The sequence below is a fragment of the Homo sapiens genome, chromosome 1 (assembly GCF_000001405.40).
Source record: "Homo sapiens chromosome 1, GRCh38.p14 Primary Assembly".
Classification (NCBI taxonomy): Eukaryota; Metazoa; Chordata; class Mammalia; order Primates; family Hominidae; genus Homo; species Homo sapiens.
Window position 1 is genome coordinate 33,734,779 of NC_000001.11, and position 22,091 is coordinate 33,756,869.

The window sequence follows — 22,091 nt, forward strand, 5'->3', positions numbered from 1 at the left end:
CATCTCAAAAAAAAAAAAGAAAAAAGAAAAAGAAAAAAGAAAATACACACTCACTGTAGATAATTTATCTTTTTTTGTGTGTATTTCTTGTAAGCAGAATATTCTTAAAGCTCAGCTCTTTGTCTTTTAATAGGGAGTTTAATTACTTTTATTATCATAACTGATATGTTTGTCTTCTGCTGTCATTTTGTTTCATGCTGTCAATTTCCGATGTCTCCATGTGATGTCCTGTCTTCTTTGTCTTATGCATTAGGCAATGTATTTCCTTTTAATTTTCTACGGGGATGTCGAAAGTAGAAATCCTGCTTTTCGTTCTATTTGGAGATGCTTTTAAGTCTTTCATAGAGGTGTTGGAAACTATATTCTCTTCAGTGATATAATTCAAGAAAAATACAGTAACAGGGTAGCCAAGAGTCTGGATTTGAATTCTGGCTCCATCATTTACAAGCTGGGAAGATCCTACGCAGGTGACTTAACCTGTCTGTGTCCTAGCAGGGACAATAACGACATCTATTTCCTAGGACTGGTGCAAGGTTGAAATGAGGTGACACTGTAAGACACTTATCCTAGTGGGGTATGATTATTTTTCCTTTAAAGAGACAAGGAAGAGGTAAGTGTAGGGGAGAGAAAGTCAGGCAGGTACGCCGGTGTAGCTGCCTTCACTACCCGGAAGTCTTTCTTGGGAAATTTCTGATTTTACACCTAAGGGACTCCTGTGTCCTGTGAACTCAAGATCACAGACTTGGTCAATCTAGCCCATTCACTTCCGTATTGTCTAAGGCTGCTGTTGCATTAGGACAGCAGAGTTATAGCCCACACAGTCGAAAATACTTCCTCTCTGGCCCTTTAAGAAAAAGTTTGCCGACCCCTGCTTTAGATCCTCCAGATAATCATCCTTCTTTCTAAATTTAGGAGAAGCCATCGTCTCTCTTGTCCTATTATAGCCTCTCAAAAGCTAAGTGGCTCTTAGCATATATTAAAAGATTTTCTAAAAGACCATTAGCTTCTGCATTTAATTGTCCACAAGGTGGGGACACTTAATCAAAAACAAAACTAGAAAAAAAACGGAAAAGACAAAGATGCTGATTGCAAAGCAGAGCTCTACCAAGGCTCAGACAAAAGGAGGGAGAGGAGCCAAGAAGGGACAGGTTCCCAGGGGCTTCTTTAGCCAGCTCTGTCTAAGGTTTTAAGGCTGGGATTCAGCCACCCTAAGTGGCATCAGGCTCTCACACTCTGCCTGGCATGCAACTTCCCAGATCCCTGAAAACCAGGCTGGCATCAAATGCCCATCGCTCTGAGAAAACCGAGCGGGCTCTCCCTGGGGTCAGGGTCTCCAATAGACTGTCCCTTACTTCTAGTGCCTACTGCCCCAACCCTACAGCATTTCCCCCTCCAGGGACAGAATGAAAAAGACCTTTTTAACTTTAAAATGAAGACCTTGCTTATGAAATAGTGAGCCGCGGGAGGCTGAGGTGGGTGGATCACGAGGTCAGGAGATCAAGACCATCCTGGCTAACACGGTGAAACCCTGTCTCTACTGAAAATACAAAAAATTAGCTGGGTGTGGTGGTGGGCGCCTGTAGTCCCAGCTACTTGGGAGGCTGAGGCAGGAGAATGGCGTGAACCTGGGAGGTGGAGCTTGCAGTGAGCCAAGATCACGCCACTGCACTCCAGCCTGGGCGACAGCAAGACTCCGTCTCAAAGAAAAAAAAAAAATAGTGAGCCACTTGAAGATCCATTAACAAAGGTCAAATTATCTCATGTGTTCATACATGGCCTTGAAGGTTTCAATGCATCGCAGAGCTAAAGTCTAAGAGCACTTGATTCAGGAGGGTGGCAGGTGGAGAGGAGGATTGTGCAGTTACTAATTCCTGAGGGTTCCTCAGAGCAGTCAACTAATTTGGGACTAAGCCCCTGCAGGCTCAGGGGCAATGGGAATCTGGCCTTCTGCCCTGAGACCACTCACAGTCTTGTTGGGCAGACAGGACCAAGGCCTGTGGAACTGGTAAATGTAATAATGGTAAGAACCAGTATCCAAGAAAGTGGTCCAGTGGTGGTGGCCCATGAAAAATAATAGAAATTAGGAGAAGGAAGAGATCAGGTGAGCTAGAGACAGCAGGGAAGATCTCAGAGATATGAACCAACACAACGAAAACTAAAGAAATTAGAAGTGGTCAATGAGTGCAAGGGAAAATGAGGGGGCTGGTCTGTAGGAAGGTGAAAGACCACCGATTCACAACCCTCCAGACTGGGTTCTGCATGGATGCTTTGTACGGTGACCTGTTTCACCAGCAAATAACTCCATCAGATATGCATACTTATTCCCCTGTTGCCAGTGAGGGACCTGAGGTCTAGGTCTAGTTACTTAACCTAAGCCCATTAATTCTACAGCTGGGAAGCATGGAGACTGAGTTTCGTGTTGTTTCTCTAACTCCAAAGCTTCTGTTCTTTCCAAAAGTGCTGATTGCACTGAGGAAGAATGGCAGATGAGGTTGTACAGACCACACTGCGGGAAGTTTGGAAGTCAGAAAAAAATGTCTATTCATGTCACGGTTGGGGCAAGTTCCTGGAAGGATGGAAACGCACCACTTGATCCCCCAAAGTGGAGCAAATATTGATCTGGTTGGTCCAATGAAGAAATAGTTAAAATCAAGTTAACGCTAATGGCCAACACTTATTGAGTGTTACCTCTCACCAGGCACTGCTCCAAGAACTGTGCATGCTCAAGACAACTCTTCAAGCGGGTTCCCATTATCAACCTGCATTTTACAGTGGGGCAACTGAGGCACAGAGAGGTCAAGTTACTTCCCCAGGGTGGCTTGGATGATAAGTTGCAGGGTGGAGACAGCAGGCAGTCTGGTGAGAGTCGGGGCTCTGGAGGCCTTTCATTGATATGCGTCTCATTAGGGAGGCTCTAGCCTAGTTAAAAGGCCATTCATTCATTCATTTATTCGGTGACTCATCAACCAGTATTGATTGAGCATCTACCAAGTATCAAACAACACACCAGCTGTGGGAATATGAGGCCAAGGAAGATTCCCTAACCTCATGGAGTTTACGTGACAGTGAAGGCGCAGCTTATGAGGACTTACTTTATACCAGGACTGCCTACTCCATACACATCTGATAATTATCATTATCCCTCCTTTTTTTTCCAGCTGGAAAATACAAAGGCTCAAGGGGAAAAGTGAATTGCCAGGATCCCAGCTTGGGCCCCTCTCACTCAAATGCCCACCTGGACTGCTTGCCACCTCCAGTGTTCTCAGTGGTCCCTTGTCTCCCATCGAGCCATTTGTAAGCTCTGGGTAATACTCTCTCTCAGGCATGCTCCCTTCTTCATTCTCCTGTCCTTCCTGTTCATGGCCACTATGCCCAGATTTGAGTTTAGGAATTGGGTTAAGTCAAGAGGTCTCTTAAGTCTCTATCCTCTTTCTATCACATGAAATGTGAGAAGAAGGTTTCTGCCTCCTAAAAGGAGAGAATCACAGCCTTCGTCTCCTTGGATACTGTCAGTTTCCCCAAGGGGCCCTTGGGATACTCACTATTCATCCATTATTCACAAATATTTATTAAGCACCTATTCCGTGCCAGGTACCACGGTTGGTACACAATGCTTGGTACACAAATTTGCCTGGTGCACAAATGCTTGGTACACCATGCTTGGTACACAAATTTAACCTGACTCCTGCCTCAAGAAGCTTTATCTGTATTTTAAATGTCTGTAGTTTGGTGGAACAGATGGCTGGTCTTGAAAATTGAGTCAAAAACTGTCTTGTGTGGCGAGGCAGGACTGAAGAACTGCCATCATCAGCCGTGTGCCTGCTGCAAGCTGTGTTTCTTCTGGCTGGTTGGCCCTGAGTCTCCTGGAGACTGACCACAAGGATATAAAGTCAGCATTTAACAGGGCACAAAGGCCGAGACTGGGAGACATCCCAGGGAATTGGGGAAAATAAACATGTGGAGAAGGAAAGAGTGACAGGCAGCTTGAAAGACCCGAAAACTCGCAGCGCTGCCAATGCTACTTTGGGCTGCCGGAGCTCCCCTGGGCAGGAGCTGGAAACAGGGATCTTAATGGCTGTGATACCGAAGAGAGTTCTCATTTGAAAGAAGAGGTGCTTTTGATGCCTGACAATCCAGAGCCGTTTCTCTACTTTAATCTCTGGTTATAATTTAAATTCCTACGCACAGTGGCCTTATGAAGCCCCTGCTATTCCAGCATGAGGGTGAGAGAGTGGCCCTTCGTTCTGGGAGAAGAGGAAGGACCAACGCAGAAAGGAACCACCATGGCCTGGGCTGCTTGCTCCCCCTCCCCAGCCTCTCTGGCTGACAATGGCCACTGCTCCCAGCCTGCAGGCTCGTACCTTCACACCGCAGCACAGCGCTGTTCCAGACCACGCTGCCCTCCTTCAGGACGCAGGTGATGGTCTCTGAGCCCTGAGTCCCAAGGAAGCCTTCATCACAGAGGAAGGAGATGGAGCTGCCCAGCTGGAGGCTGTCCCCAAACCGTTTGCCATTTACTGGAACGCCAGGATCCGGGCACTCGTTGTGTCGGAAGGCTGTGTAGATGGAGTTCAAGGACATGATCAGACATTGCTGGAGTAGAGAAGAATCCCTAAAGAAAATTAGCTTCCTTGGGATGGGAAACCCTAGAACTCCACCACCTCCCCAAGAACTTGCCATGTTGGCGGGAGAGCTAGGCATTCTAGGACCTCGGCATTAAGCAGGTGCTCATTAAACTTGATTTCCTGCCTTCCCGAGCACCTAATCCCACTGCATTCTAATGGACATTTATAGATCAGGCAATAAGCTAAGTGTTTCTGCTGTTAGCTCATTTACACCACATAATGATTCTATGAAGTAGCTCTTGTTACCCTACTTTACAAATGAGGAAACTGAGGCTCAGTGTGGTTAATGAGCTGATCTGTCTCCTCAATGTCAAATCCATTCCAAGATTCCCTAACTTCAGACAGTTATGGGATCATTTCTGCTTGAGGTGAGCTGGACTCTAAATTCTGTGACGCTAATAGACTCTAAGCATCATAAAGGAGGTGCCCTAGAATTAACCCTGTCTGAAGCTATTTCCTTTATTTCCTTGCCTATTGTCAGGGCTGCCTCTCACTCTACCCAGGCAATTGATAATGCAGAGTGGGGAGAGGACAGAGTCAGAACGCTGTAGATTTAATCATGCTTTGCCTTTTATTCGTTACATGGTCCTGGACAACTTATGCAATTCTGATGAGCCTTAGTTTCCTGACTGATAATATGGAGATCATCCTTCACTTGCAGGGTCATTCTGAGATAGAAATAAAATGAAAGTTGATGTGAATATGAGAGTGGCAATTGTTCGGTGCGGCACGTGACAGATGGTAAGTGCTCACTGAAGATGAGTTCCCTTCCTTCTTCCCTCCTCTGCATGGGAAGATACTCTTTCCTGCTCAGTCTCTACCAAGCATGTTCCCTGCCTTCCTCCAGCAGGGGCATCACAGTTCTCTTACTAAATGTCTCCGAAGCCAGGCTCTATTTTCACCCCGAAGCCAGGCTCTATTTTCACCCCTGTTGTTCTGAGGATGGCAGCTTTCCAGTGGAGACCAGGATCCATGGCTGCATGGGTATGGGCCACTTGAAAAAAAAATTTCTTGGCCTCTGAAATTCCCTAGTGATAGAAACATTTGCACATTCAGAAACAGCAGTGGCCCTAGGGGCTGCTGGATCTTGCTAGAGGCAAGAGGCCTGCAAACCTGACCCTTCCCATTGCAGATGAGGTAAGGGAGCCTCTGATGTGGAGATGACTGTGATGATCCCATGCAGGGCTTCAGTTGAGTGCCCAACACCCTTCCATTTGAACGCTTAGGTCAGCCCAGACTTGAGTCTCCCAACCTTTCTTCGTTGGAAACTATGACCACGAAGTCACCCTGACATTTAGAAATATGGTGTGGGAAAAAAAATGATGCTTGGGGCCCAGAAGTCCAGGCATTTTTCTTTCAAATGCATCAGTCATACACATGTAGGCACAGATACATACACCCACATATGAACACACACATACACGCGCGCGCGTGCATGCGCACACACACAAGCGCAAATGCACATAGCAGGAATATGGAGTTATTTCCAACATCTGGGAGCAAAAGCTCTGAGTCAAGGACCCACTTCTCCCTGTGTACCTTTCCAAACCTCAGTTTTCTGGCATGTGAAAGGGGTAGATCTTGCTTTATGGAGTTTTTGTTGTGAGGCTTCCAGTGATGACTGTTGAGTGCTCAGCACCAGGTTCAGCCCACAGGAGGTGCTTAATGGATGGCAGCTACTGTCATTGTTGTTCATTATGTTCCATGTGGAAGAGGAATTAGCCTTGTTACCGGGAGTTCTAGGGGTGGAAGTGGGACCACTGATCCTTGTTACAGGGACACAGATTTCAAGTCAACATAAGTTGACTTGAAATCTAGAGTGCCTGCTAGCTATGGAGAGAGCTGTCTGGGGAGGCAAGCTCCCTGACACTGGGCAAATTCAAGCTCAGCCTCAGTGATCATCAGTTGGGATGTAGGAGGAGATTAAAATCCTATGGGAGAGACTACACTAATTCCCTGACACTTGGCCATGGAGGATTGTTTCACTGACTGCATCCGATCGCCTCAGAAGCCTACCAAAAATGTAGATTCTGGGGCCCCATCCCTTTAGTGATTCTAATTCAGCAGGTCTAGGATGCGGCCCAGATTTTTAAAAATTATTTCTATCAATCCATCCAACTGTCTATTTGTATAAATGCATAGAAAACTATGTGATATCTGTAATAGTGTCCACCAATTGTTGGCAAGAATCATTTCTGGCTGGGGGATTTTGGGTAGTGGTTAACATCTCTCCTTTGACCTCTCCCATTTTTTGAGTATTTACAGATTGGATGTGTATCATTTTTACAATGGTAGAGAAACCTTGGAAAGAAATACAAGTAAGAGCTATCCTCAGGTTAGTCTGCTGCCGTCATGATGAAGCTCAGCCCCTGGGCCATCAGCTGCCTCCTCCTCCCAAGTTCCCACTCAGTGTCCACACATGCTGCAAACCCACATGACTTCTTGGCCCTCACCATCCTGGATAAGTGTGCTCCCCAGGATACCTTTTATCCTTGTTCTTCCTACTCCGCCAGGGCAAGAGAAAGCATTTACTCATTCATGGATCCTTCCATTCCGTAAACATTTGCTGATCCTTAGCACACACCAGGCCCTGTGCGGGGCCAAGGGATATAAAGATAAGGAAAGCATACTCGCTCCTTTCTAGTGTGAAGCAGCATGGTCAGTGCTAGACTAGGGTTAGGAAAGACAGAACTAGGATCTCCCCCTGCTTCTTCCTGCCCACAGCAGATGAAACAGGAATCCCCTGGAGGAGACATGCCCTGAGAAGGTTGATTGTGTCCTAAACAAGAGTGGTGAGGGGAATGGAATGGGCTTTACCTGGCTGGTCTCTTGGAATCGGGGGACCCAAATGGCCCACCAGGTAGCATCTAATGTCTTCAGTCCAACTGGACTCCAGAGATAGGTGGAAAACGGAGGCAAGGCCTTTATGCCAACGGTGGGAATGGGGGTTGGGAGATCAGTGTTTGTGGGCATGGAGCAGAGCTTGCACTGGGGACTCGCCCTTCACAAGCAGCCTCTGGGAAAGGATCTAGTTAATTGCTCAGATGGACCCACCTCCAGCCTCACTTGACTGTTTGTCATCAGCCAAGTCCACTGGATTTATAGCTTCTTACGACCTGATAACCACTTCTTGCTATCTTTGGTGGCTTGCTATTTCTAGTCACCAAGCTTCTGCCCCCCCCCCCCCAACCCCCTCTGTAACCACGAGATACAGAAATAAAAATAATCACTGCTGAGTTTAGGCTGCTTCTAGAGAAGGGGCCCAGGATTGAAACTGGAGGTGGCAACTTTCAGATGGTGGCCCTCAGAGGGGCTATGAGGAAATTCCCTAAGAGTTGTCCCCAGTAAGTCTGGGAGCCCAACAGAAGTGTTGCTCCAAAGCTTTGATTCTGATGTGACTATGGGAATGGGAACTGGGCAAAGCAAAGTGAGCAGCCCCGGCACGAACTCAGAGGTCAGCAGCAGGCAGGCATTCAGGGATTTCGGAGAGCACCTCAGAGAGGGCATCAGAAACCAATGAGAATGATAGAGGCTTTCTTTCTCTTGGGCCCTCCCTAGTTCTGGTTGGGTCTTGTAGGATGGGGAAGGTTGGGGCAAAAATGAGGTTCCAGGTTCCTTTTACATTATATATCACAACTATGGGAGATAAATGCCCTTCAGAGAGGGACTTCCAGAAAAGAGCACCCTGCCTGGCAGCCAGTGCTTTATGCCCTTTCTTGGTCATGCTGGGAGCTCCATGACTGGGCACTGCAGCCCTGCAATGCCCTGGGAACTGCCCCATCCACACCTCCTCCTCCCTCCATGGGAGCACCTTCGATCATCCTCAGAGGCAGACACTCAGATGGAGGGCCAGCTGGTGACAGAGGGAGGACTCACTGGTAAAAGTGATGTTGAAGCCCCTCTTCCCTGTGGAGTGGTCAGTCTGGAACTCGAGACGGGCCACGTGGCCACTGCTTGTGATGGAGGAGGGAAGCTGGTTTCCTGAGAAGGTGCCCAGGACGGGCGCCTCGGCGGTGGCCCCATCCTTGATGACCAGGAAATCAAACTGAGGCTCCACGTCAATGTCGTTGAAGGCCAGGTGGATGCGGCTCTCAGGCCTGGCCAGGATGAGCCAGACACAGTGGAGGTGGTTGCCATAGTCCTCTGGGTAGTTGGGAGACAGGACAACCCCAGACGGGCTGGTGAAGTTGAAGAAGCAGGAGACTGCAAGAGAAGAGCAGTGGAGGTCAGTAAGCATCCCCAACATTCTGCCTGCACCACTGAGGGCTGGCAGGGGGAACATCTTCTTAGTCTAAAAAGCAACAGAAAGAAAGAGTGGCACAAGGGTTGGGCTGGACTGGCTGGGCTCTGAGCTCCAGGTGGGGAGACATGCTGGGCTCCATGCTGGACTTAGCAATGGGTAGGGCCCCTTTGGCAAAAGGCAGACATGGCAGAACTGGTCTTCTCTTGGCCCCTCTCCCCTGGTCAGCACGCCCACCTAGGATGCGGCCCAGATTTTTAAAAATTATTTCTATCAATCCATCCAACTGTCTATTTGTATAAATGCATAGAAAACTATGTGATATCTGTAATAGTGTCCACCAATTGTTGGCAAGGATCATTTCTGGCTGGGGGATTTTGGGTAGTGGTTAACATCTCTCCTTTGACCTCTCCCATTTTTTGAGTATTTACAGATTGGATGTGTCTGGATGTGAAACACTGCGTCTTCGTGCTTTGGGTCCCTTGGGTGGGGCAAAGCCACAACTCAAGCCTAAGTGTAGAGTCACAGTCCCTGACCCCTCTCAGCTGGGTTTACAGCAGTAGGAAAGGACATTGCTTAATGACACAGCAGTGCTAATTCCCCAGGCGGTAACCGGGTGGAGACAGCCCAGGACCATTTGTCTCCTTCAAACATTTTTGATGGAAAAATGATAGGTGTGCCATGGGATTCTGACAACCCCAAGATGCCACACTATGCTAAAGAGGTGCCAGGAGCACCATCTTTCAGAGACCAAAGCTTCTGAAGAAACTGGGGGAGGGAGGTGACAGCATCCATTGTGATCCCTGTCCACGTCCTGTTCTCTCTCCCCTATTTCACCCTAAGGATCCACCCTTCCAAAAACCCTTATTTTAAGCTATTTTCATGCCAACTAGTAGCAGACCCTGGAATAAGAATAGGCAAAGAAAGTGCTGTAAATGAGAAAACAAATAAATACTAAAACAAAATTATAAAAGAAAATAATAAAATGAAAAAAATAATCACAACGCTTATGACACAGGAAAAATATCAATATTGAATTAGAACCTTTATAATTATCTAAGAACATCACTAAGATGAGTAAAGAGAGTGCTTAGAGGATTCATATGAAAGAAAATAGAATTAATATGACAACACAGTCCATTTCAATAGAAAAAATAAAGAAAAAATATAGAATCCAATATTGTTGAGGCTTCATGGAATCTCATACATGCATTTATTGCCAATTGCAGAGCAAAACTGATATGATCCTTTTTGAAGGGAGTATGTAAGTTCGCATCCAGAGCCACAGAACTACTCAAAGACTGACTCAGTAATCTCTAGGAATTAATTCAAAAGAAAAAGAGCCACCTAGCCAAAGATGTTTACAATGACATAATTTTATTATAGAGGAAAAATGTGAACAAACTATATGTCAGCCCAATAATGTGAGGTAAATTATAGCCTTTAATGTGATACAGTTTGACTGCAATCATTAAAGTGATAAATATGACCCTGTAGAAAGAATGTTAAACATAATTTTAAATAAAGCAGTAGATCATAAAATTATATGCATGCTTTTGATTATAGCTATTAAATATTTGTTTATAAATGGATAAAGACTGGACATAAGCCCCCAAATAAAAACTATATCAGGGTCGTAGGCGTTCAAAATGAAACAACATTTAATTTTTCTGATTGCAAAAATGCTGTAGGTTCATTCTAAACATCTTTTAATATATACAAGCATAAAAAAGGTAGTTCCAAATATGGATAAACATTTAAGTCCATTTATAACATTTATATAGATGTTTGGTGTTAATTAAATTGATATTTAAGTGAGTAAAATATTTGACTTACTAAAGGTAATGATGCTAAGATGAAAAATAATAAAATCATGTTTGCCAAAGGGGGGAAAACATTAAAACAAAAAAATTGGTGACTCCTTGTGATGAGTTTAGTCTTGATTCTCCCTGACTCTGCCCAGCTCCCCATTTTCTGCATTAAGTATTTCTTTTCCAGTCTGCAGCTGTAAAAGCCCTCCCATGCAATTCAGCAAAGTAAGCCTGGTTCTTAAGACACATTCAGTCTCATCCCTGTAATCCATGTATATTTTAAGTATAGAAAGAATTCGAGCCAAGGGGAGAGAAGGACATGAAAAGGCTTTTAGGTAATGTAATATATAGTTAATGGCAATTATTATTATATATTATTGAGGGTTTAACTAAGAGTAGACACCATTCTAAGCACTTCCATCACTTGCTCAATTTAACTGTCACTATAATGCTACGAGGTAGGTATTGTTATTAACCCCATTTAAAGATGAAGACACTGAGGCACACAGAGGTTAAGTAATGCAGGGCCAGTAAATGGTAGCGCCAAAGCCAAATCAATGCAGCCTGATTCTAGAGACCAAGCTCTTACTAACCCCCCACCATGTCTCTCAGTATGAGAATAACACTTCCCCCTGGGCCTATGTGACCGTGGAGTCTTAGAAGGCGTTCCTCAAATCTGCTGAAGATTCATCTGTCGACTTGAAATATTACATTAGCACTGAATTGGGAGTCTCTAGGCTGGACATGGATGCCCCCACACAGCCATCTTGTCTCCAGCTTTGTGGGAGTTCAGTTGGGAACATAATGCAAATAATGAGGAATCAAAACCCAAAGGCAAAGACCTTGAAGGCAGAGGGGGCAAGTCACAGGGCCTGCTGAGCAAGTCCAAGGCAGATGAAGACAAAGAAAGGTGCTAAAGTTTCAGAGGGAAGATGGTCAGGGGCACTGTGAGTATGTGAGCAAATAAATTTGCTGCAGAGGACTATTTAATTAATAAGGCCTGAGACCCTCTCCCCACCTCCATCACTCTATCAGTGTATTATTTTTTCTCTAGAACCTTTAACCAGGATTGTCATGTTGCAAAGCTCCAGGGGCACCATTTTGGAATTTGAGCAGCTATATATGATAGCTCTGCTTATCATTCTCTAAAATTATCTTGTTTACATGTTTAGCTGTTGATGGTCAGTCCTTCCCTCTCCCCAACACATACACAGATCTTCCATGACAGCAGAAATCTCATCTGATTCTGCTGAATCCCTAGTGGCTCCCACAATGCCTGACACATTGTAGGTGCTCAACCAATATTTGCTGAATGAATCAATGAGTACCTAATGGTTGAAACCATTCTGAAAGAAGGTGACATGAACATGTGGGTCTCATAACCCCATCCCACTCCAAACCTCGACCAACAGATTGACCAAAGTCTGTACAAATATTAATAGATGGATACCTGTGTCAACTCTGGAAAACAGAGAAACATACTGTGCTGTAACCCTGCATGTATTTATCTTAGACATAGTACAGATGTGTCCCTAGATAATTTACAGTGGAAAAGGGTATGAATGAGCCAAGTTGTTAAACAGCAAAGGCAACAGAAAGCTGCTCTTAAATATCAAAGGCCTCAAAACATGTCCTACTCACATCCACTCAAAGATGTCTCCTATCCAACCAAGAGATGAATTTAAACAACAAACTCAAGTAGGATAAAGTTGAGGTTAACAAAAAGCATAAAAAAAGATTGACAATGAGCAAATAAACCAATATGGTAATGAATTTAAATAATTTATGTAAACATAGTTATAAAATGAAATGCAAGCGTAACAAATATTCCTTGGAACAGAAAATATAAGACGTTATTCCTGCCCAAACTCTAGGGTAGAATATTCCAGATTCTACTGACACAAAGAGTAAAGTTGGAGCAAGGAGATATGCTAATTTGCTCATCTTGCAAGAAATCCTGTTTTGTAGTTTCTGTGGTTAATTAGAGAAATATAGGTTGGAGCATGCTTTTAAAGATGTTAAGTGTAATTAGTAATAGAATATGAAATAGCTTGTCTTCAAAATTACCAAAGGGGAAAAAGCAAAGTAGTTCAGGGAGGAAAAAAGAAATTCAAAGGAAACAACAAGGAAGCATGGGGTAGGGGGGTTGTAACGTAAGATGCTTTAAAAAAGATAAAACATCAGTTATGACAATAAATGTATACAGGTTAATCTCCCAGTAATATACAACCCTCTCTTTGGGACAAAACACACAGCTAAGACAAAGTGACTCTGAATACTCAAAAGTAAAGGAATGGGCCAAGATAGCTCAGGCTTTACATTAGAAGAGTGCTGTAATTTATCAATATAAGTCTCAAATATTCCTATTTAATTGGTGGACTGGGCTCAGGGCATCACCGATTTTAAAAAGTTCCCCAGGTGATCCCAAATTGCAGCCAGGGTTTGAGAACTACTGGTGGAGGCAAATGTGAACAACAAAAAAGGAATTTTAATATTAATATCTGATCCTTGGATATTATATTACACCTGACTCTTGGATGATCCTTTTCTTATGCCAAGAGTTTTCTGGACAGCTACCAAGAGGCATTTCTTATTATACCTGGAAGGAGACAGGGCTGATAAACTGACACTCTTAGAACAAGAATGTGGCCTTATAAAGCTCTGTCTTCCATCTCAAAAGAGTACTCAGACTTGTTGCAACAAGGGCAGGAAGAGGAAGTGTGCGTTGTCTTACAAAGATCTAATCTTTCTTGCTCTGGAAAATTATGTATGCATGTTGTATTGTAATATTTCTGTAAGAGAATAGGAAGAGCCTACTTCTCAGTGTCGCAAATGAGGGATTTTTAAAAAGTTGTAATTGGATCTCATCACCCTCAATCACCCAGGTTAAAAGAAGGAGATCAGGCACCTTCCTCCTTCAGAGTAGTGACCAGACTGTGCTCATGGATCTTGATGTCGACTAAACTTTTAAGTCAGAAGCGTCAGACTGTTGACAAATAATAAAGGTGGGAAACTTATTAACAGGTAGATGTGTAATTACTGTGCATTATATTAGGTTATTATTTAACATGAGCTTGAGTAGAAAATAAAAGGGGCTTGTTGAAGACCCCTCTTTTATTATGTTTTTCTTTTGGTGTTGTCACCAAACAAAGAGAGTTTTCAGTAGTCCTTTATAGAGACCTAATACAAAATCCAAATATCATATTTAAAACATGGATAATGAGCCCATTACAAAATAAAGATATGACAGTTATAATACTTTATGTCCAAAAGCATGAAAGAGACAAAATAAAATATACTACCCTGAAATCAAGATCAAGATAAAAAGGATCTGAAAATATTATGAGTGTGTATATTATATGAAACTCTGTAGTCTTCAAACAAGGAATGCAAACTTCTTTACAGGTGCCCATGGACTATTACAAAATTGACCTTACATTAGGCTATAAGAAAATCCCCATAAATTCTATCACAATGCAAAAACTGTTGGGCCACATTTTCTGTTCACAGTACAAATAAACTAGACATCAATAAGAAAAGAACAAAGAAAAATCCATAATCACTTAAAAATTCATAAAACTCTTTCCAAATAAGTTCCTGAGCTCAATGAGGAAAACAAAGCTATCAATACAGACTTCTTTTTTTTTTTTTTTTTTTTTTTTTGAGACGGAGTCTCGCTGTCACCCAGGCTGGAGTGCAGTGGCCTGATCTCGGCTCACTGCAGGCTCCACCCCCCCAGGTTCACGCCATTCTCTTGCCTCAGCATCCCGAGTAGCTGGGACTACAGGCACCTGCCACCTCGCCCGGCTAATTTTTTTGTATTTTTAGTAGAGACAGGGTTTCGCCGTGTTAGCCAGGATGGTCTCGATCTCCTGACCTCATGATCCACCCGCCTCGGCCTCCCAAAGTGCTGGGATTACAGGCGTGAGCCACTGCGCCCAGCCAATACAGACTTCTTATAATGATGATGATACTAGACCAAAGCTGTAGTAAGGAGAAAATTCATAGCTTTATTCATGATTAAACAATAAAGAAATAAAATAAGTGCAATTAGTGTTTATACTTAAAAAGTTACCAAAAGAATAACTGAACATGATTAAGGAGAGAAGAGAGAATAAACTTAGAAAAGACAAAAACAGAAAAAAAAATTGGCTTCTGAAGAGATCAATAAAAATTTCTGATTGGTTTGCTCAATAAGTAGAAATAGAAAAGATAAATATACATAGGGATAGGAGGCTATAATAACACTAAGGTGATAATCCAACTATAAAAGAATAGTATACATAACATATGAAATATGGATAAGATGGAGCATTTCCTAGAGAAATTTGAATTACCAAAATTAGCATGAAGGGAAAAACCTGAGGAAACTGGAAAATACTTAGTGGGTAGGTGGTTTCATGGCCAGTGCTTCAAAACTATAAACAAACTTGTAATAGCCATGCTATTTAAATTGATTTTGATACAATACTCCCATAACAATGATATGTATGATACACACACAATCATATCCACCAACACAATGACACACCTACAGTATAGAAAATCCTTCATGCAAAGTGCTAGAAAATCAAATTCAGCCCTACAACAATAAGCCAACATGACCTACACAACAAAAACAACAAAACTGTACTGATAGGAAGAAAAAAAATTTTTAATGGAGAGGCAAACTATGTTCCTGGTTGAAAATAATTCATATTACTAAGATGAAAAGTGTCCTAAATCATGGTACAAATTTAACACAATTCCAGGCCAGATCTTTTTTTTTTCTGGAACTTAAAACCATTGCAAGATCCATCTGTTGGTAAACAGGTGAAAACAGCCGAGCTCTCCTTGAGACAGATAAGGAATAATAGCATATAAGGTGCTAGTTGGCATTCTGAGAGCTTCCTGTATCTCAACTCATTAACTCTCACAGCAACCCTCTGAGATAGGTACTATTATTAACCTACTTTACAGAGACAGACGCTGAGTCCAAATGTTAAATTAATCTGCCCATGGTCATACAGTCACTGTAGATGATAGAGCTGGGAAGATGAACCAGTCAGGCCAGTACCAGAGCTCAAGCTCTTGACCACGACACCTACTTCCTCCCAGAGGAGGAAGGGCTTGACAACCCAGATATTAAATACTAAAACATATTATAAAGCTGTAATAATATAATTTATACTATATTGACTTCAAAAGAGAGATCAACAGAGCTGGAAAAGAAAGTCCAGAAAAGGAACCAAAAATATATGATAAAGGGGGCTTTTGAAATTAGCAGAGAGAGGGTTGATTGATCAATACCTGATGCTAGAACAAATGGCTAGCCAGTTAATGACAAAATTAGGTCCACACTTCATTCCATGTACCAGAGAAGTCCTAGAAGAAAATATAAGGAATATTTGTATAATGTTGGAGGCAAGGAAGGACTTTATTAGTATTACACCAAAATTAGAAATCATAAGGGAAATTTTAAACTACAGAAATGGAAGATTTTAGATTTCAAAAATCACCATAAACAAAAGCTGAATAATGAGAGACAAATGGAGAGAAAATATGTGCAAGTTACTACATTTAAATATTTACTATCCTTCATCTATGAAGAATTGGAATTTGACAGAAAGATGTACACTCAACATAGAAATATTGGCCAAGGAAATTAAGAGGCAACCAACAAAGAATAAATAAAGTTGGTTAATAAAGAGGTGAAAAAACATATAATATTATTAGAAAACAAAAACTTAAAACAACAGAGCTATTGAGTTGGGAAAAAAAAAAAAGATGGCATTGAACTTTTTGAGAGAAAGGGGACTGGCAGGGCAGACAGGGACCAAGCAGTCAAGAGGTAGGAGAAAACACAGGAGAGTGGTGTCATACAGACAAGGAAAGAGGGTTTCCAGAAGGAGGAAGGGACATCTGTTTTGAAAGACTGCTGAGCGCCATGTATCATCTAGGCTGAAAATGATCCACTGGGTTTCAGCAACATGAGACTCATTGGTGAGTTTTGTGAGAGCAATTTCAGAGACGTGGTGGACTCAGAAATCAGAATGGAGTGGGGTAACAGGGTACTGGGAGGTGAGAAATGAACACAGCAAGGGTACATAGACATCCTGCTACAGAAGTTTGGGTATGAAAGAGACTTAGAGAACCTGCAAGGAGATGAGAGTGTGAAGAAAGATACTTTTTAAAATTATTATTATTGAGACGGAGTCTCACTTTGTTGCCAGGCTGGAGTGCAGTGGCGCAATCTTGGCTCACCGTAACCTCTGCCTCCTGGGTTCATGCACTCCTGTGTCAGCCTCCTGAGTAGCTGGGAATACAGGTGTGTGCCACCACGCCCAGCTAATTTTTTTTTTTTTGTATTTTTAGTAGAGATAGGGTTTCACCATGTTGGCCAGGATGGTCTTGATCTTTCGACCTCATGATCTGCCTGCCTTGGCCTCCCAAAGTGCTGGGATTACAGGCATGAGCCACTGTGCCCAGCCAAGTTGGGTGTTTTTTGTTTTGTTTTGTTTTGATGAGAGCAGCCTGAGAAAATTTCAATGTTGATGGAATGCAACTGGCAGAAGGGAAGTGGCTGAAGAGTTAGCAGAAGGAGGAAGAATTATTTGAAGCATAAGATTCATGAAAAGGTGAAAGGTGAGGAAGAATTTATAGCTAAATGTATTAAACAGTGGATTGCAACCCGTTATTAGCTGGTCATAAATTTCATGTTAAGAAACAAAACAAACAACAAACAAAAAAATATATAGTTTGGTTTTTTGTCTCCTCCAAATCTCAGGTTGAAATGTAATCCCCAATGTTTGAGGTTGGGCCTGGTGGGACTCATGGGGGCAGATCCCTCTTGAATGGCTTAGCGCCATCCCCTTGGTGATGAGTGAATTTTTGTTCTGGTAGTTCACATGAAATCTGGTTTCTTAAGAGTGTGGTGCCCCCACCCTACCTTGCTCCTACTTTTACCATATGATACGCTGGCTCCGTTTTGCCTTCTGCCATGATTGTAAGCCTCCTGAGACCCTCACCAGGAGCTGAGCAGATGTTGGTGCCATGCCTGTACAGCCTGCAGAACCACGAGCCAAATCAAACCTCTTTTCTTTATAAATTACCCAGCTTCAAGTATTTATAGAAATACAAGAATGGGCTAACACAGAAAATTGGTACCAGGGGTGTGGGATGTTACTATAAGATACCTGATGATGTGGAAGCAGCTTTGGAACTGGGTAACAGGGATAGGTTGGAAGAGTTTGAAGGTCTCAGAAGATAAGAAAATGAGGGAGAGTTTGTAATTTCTTAGAGACTGTTTAAAAGGTTGTCACCAAAATGCTGATAGAAATAGGGACAGTGAAGGCCAGGCTAACAGGTCTTAGATGGAAATGAGGAACTTATGGGGAATTGGTGTAGAGGTCACCCTTGCTACTCCCTAGCAAATAACTTGGCTGCATTAAGTCCATATCCTAGGGCTTTTTGCAAGTTTGAACTTAAGAGTGACGACCTAGGGTATCTGATGGAAAAAATTTCTAAGCAGCAAAGCATTCAAGAATTAGCATGGCTGCTTCTAACAGCTCATGATCAGAACAGGAGCAAAGAGATGACTTAAAGTTGGGACTTACATTTGAAAGAGAAGAAAAGCACAAAAGTTTGGAAAATTTGCAACCTGACCCTGTGGTAAAGAAAGAATCTAAGCAGTCTGTAGAGCAACCACTTGCTAGAGAGATTAGCATTACTGAAAGGGAGCCAAGTGCTAACATCCAAGACAATGGAAAAAAGGCCTTGACGGCATTTCAGCAATCTTTGCAGCAGCCTCTCGCATCATAGGCCCAGAGGCCCAGGAGGAAAGAATGATTTCAGGGACCAGGCCTGGGGCACTGCAGTCCTGTGCAGCCTCAGAACATCGCTCCCTGCATCCTGGCTGCTCCAGCTGCAACCACAGCTCAAAGGGCTCCAGATACAGCTTGGGCTGCTGCTCTGGAGAGTGTAAGCTGCCATAAGCCTTAGCAGCTTTCATGCGATATTAAGCCTGTGGGTGCACAGCATGCAAGTATGAAGAAGGCTTGGCAATTTCTCCATAGATTTCAGAGGATGATGTGGAGTGGCAATGTGGGGTTGGAACCCCCACACAGAGTCCCACCAGTGAAGTGCCTGGTGGAGCTGTGGGAAGGGGGCTGCCACCCTCCAGACTCCAAAATGGTAGAGTCATGGCAAGCTTGCATCCTGAGCCTGGAAAAGCAACAGGTGTTCAAGTCCAACTCATGAGAGCAGCCACAAGGACTGCACTCTGCAAAGCTACAGAGGCACAGCTGTCCAAGGCCTTGGGAGTTCACCCCATGCACCAATGTGCCCAGGATGTGGGATATGGAGTCGAGGGTTATGTTGGATCTTTAAGATTTAATCTCTGCCTTGCTGGGTTTTAGAACTGTGTGGGGCCTGTTACCCCTTTCTTTTGGCCAGTTTCTCCCTTTTGGAATGAGAATGTTTGCCAAATGTCTGCACACCATTGTATCTGGGAAGTAAATAATTTGCTTTTGATCTCACCAGCTCATAGGTGGAAGGAATTCATCTTCAGATGAGCCTTTAGACTTAGGACTTTTGGGTTCATGCTGGAATAAGTTAAGACTTTGGGGGACTATTGGGAAGGGATAATTGTATTTTACAATGTGAAAAGGACATGAGATTTGGGGAGCCAGGGACAGAATGATATGGTTTGGATATTTGTCTCCTCCGAATAGCACATTGAAATGTAATCCTTAATGTTGGACATGGGGCCTGGGGGGAGGTATTTGGATAATGGGGTTAGATTCTTCATGAGTGGCTTAGCATCATCCCCTTGGCTACAAGTGAATCCTTGCTCTGCTAGTTCATGCAAGATCTGGTTGTTTAAAAGAATGTGGTACCTATCACCTACCCCACCCCCATCTTGCTCCCACTCTTGCCATGTGATACACTGGCTCTCCTTTGCCTTCTGCCATAATTGTAAGCTTCCTGAGGCCCTCATCAGGAGCTGAACAGATCTTGGTGCCATGCCTGTACAGCCTGCAGAACTGTGAGCCAAATTCAAACTCTTTTCTTTATAAATTACCCAGCCTCAGAAATTTCTTTATAACAATGCAAGAATGGGCTAATAAAGGAAGAGCATAGGAAATATCTGAGTTCAATGTAAGTAGTAAAGGTAAGTACTGCTTGTGAAATGTATGTTTCAATTATGTGCAAGTGTGTACAAAGTTACAAGGTAAAAATACATTTCTCACTGTTATGTTAAAAGTTTTTAAAGGTTCCTTATCTAAAGCATAAATGGAGTTATGCTAAAAATTTTTTGATGGGTAATTTATAGGGAAATTGTTTTTTGATGGGAGAAAGGATTGATCATCTCTTATAAAAGGTGGGAAGAATAGAGGAAGGGCGAGGATGGGTGTTGGTCTGTAGGCTTGGTGTCTTTAGTATTTGAAAATTGAGAGTGTTGCCTGTGAGGTAGGAGTAAGGTGAGGAGAAGGGGCTGTTCATGGGTTCGAGCAGGGTAGTGAATGTTTGGGGTAGTTTCCATGGAGAAATGGAGAAGAGAATGACTTGAGAAACACAGATGGATTGCTAGGCACTGTTGTAAGCCTGACTGAGATTGGTGTTCATGAATTTATAGCAGTGCCAATTTGTCTGGTTGGGTGATTTTATCCAGCAATGCTCACCCAAGCAGAAGTGGCCCAATCAGATTGTTCTTGCTTCAGTGTATGAATCTAGGTAAGTAAACTGAGGCAGCTCTGCTGATTCAGCTATTGTTGAGCTGGAGGCAGAGGCTTCACAAACCCAACCTTAAATTTCTTTCACCTCTTTCTGCTCAGAAGCTCAGTGTATGTAAAGTTGTGTCTCAGTTATCTTAATGTCATCTCTGGCACTAGAGCCTGGTGAAAGTTATCATTTAACTATGTTAGTCCCAAAGACACTGTGTGAGTTTCTCAAGGTCACCTGCATCAGGGCAAAGCTAGTTACTGGGCAGGGCTTATCCTTATCATAAACAAGATTAAGTTAACTTTAGGCTCCTTTCTTTCTAAGGAGAATACTGAGGATGCAGTCTAGAAACTCACACACATTCCAAAAGGAGTATGAAGGATAAATGGGCAATACTGGCTGCACATTTCCTGAGCACATGTATGTCCTCCTAGATTCATATTTGATATAATCCAGTCCAAAAACCATAAATTGTGCCCAAGTTATTTTTTCTTTAAACAATTTTTTAGAGAAAGGGGTCTCACTGTCTCTAGGCTGCAGTGCAGTGGTGCAATCCTAGCTCACTGTAGTCCTGAACTCCTGGGCTAAAAGTGATCCTCCCACCTCAGCTTCCCAAGTAGCTGGGACTATAGGTGTGTGCCACTATGTCTGACTAATTATTTTTATTTTTTTTTAAGAGATGTGTGTGTGCGGGGGGAGGGGGGTCTCACTATGTTGCTCACTCTGGTCTTAGACACCTGGCTTGTACACAAGTTTTTGTGTTTCTTTTTTTTCTGCCCAGTTTCCACCTCTTGGACAGGTAGAACTTGAGCATCGGTGTTCTGAGACAAATTAGAAGGGCATTCAACAGAGCTAGCCCTCTCTCATTCCTAAGACACTTTGGTTCTTCCATAATACCTTCTCCAGGTTTTCCATCTCTAGCTCTGACCGTCCCTTGGCAGTCATTTGAAAGCTTTCCTCTCTACCTGGCTTTTACCTTTTGAAATATGAACAGATCCATTTCAGGGTCATCTTCTCACTTGCTTGTCCTCTTTAGGGCACCTCATCCTCACGTAACTCCTAAGTGTATGCCTGCAGGAAAGACATTTCTTCTGAACGCCAGACCTGTGTATCCAGTGGTCTTTGAAATGTCTCCACCTAGCTCAAGTATTGATGGAGTGACGGAGCACCTGCTATGTGTCTGTCCCTATTCTAGGTATGGGATCAGCAGCCACCAAGATGGATAAGCAAGTCCTTAGCCCCTCTGAAGTTTACATTCTAAGAGGTGACGAAAAAAGGAATGAATGGCATAGAGGTGGGCTGCTTTTAATAAGGCAGCAGGAATGGCCTGTCTGAGGAGGTGGCCTTTGGACTGTGGTCTGATGATAAGGAACCAATCATTCTAAGGAAGGTTCACTGCAGGGGGAAAGAATTACAAGGGCAAAGGCCCTGGGGTGGGAATGAGCTTGGTGCATGTGAGGGACAGAAGGGAGGCCAGCATGGTAGGTAGAAGCAGGGTGACAGATGGAGCAAGGAACACAAGACAAACTAAAGAGGATGACAAGGTCTTCTAAAAATTATGAGAGTTGGATGGCAAGGTCTTTTAAAAATCATGAGAGTCCAGGGATCTAGAACTAGAAATACCATTTGACCCAGCCATCCCATTACTGGGTATATACCCAAAGGATTATAAATCATGCTGCTATAAAGACACATGCACACGTATGTTTATTG

General features: G+C 43.2%; 1 protein-coding gene across 12 annotated transcripts in view; it reads right to left on the reverse strand.

The window, feature by feature from the left end:
- The window catches only part of CSMD2 (CUB and Sushi multiple domains 2), a 651,845-nt gene that overhangs the window by 220,781 nt on the left and 408,973 nt on the right, over positions 1 to 22,091 (reverse strand). For all 12 annotated transcript variants that reach the window (XM_047443685.1, XM_047443656.1, NM_052896.5 and 9 more), the window contains 2 exons: positions 8,502 to 8,828; positions 4,362 to 4,556 (listed from right to left, as the gene is read on the reverse strand). In XM_047443685.1, the coding sequence (XP_047299641.1) occupies positions 4,362 to 4,556; positions 8,502 to 8,828 (522 nt within the window). The remainder of the gene's footprint in view (positions 1 to 4,361; positions 4,557 to 8,501; positions 8,829 to 22,091) is intronic.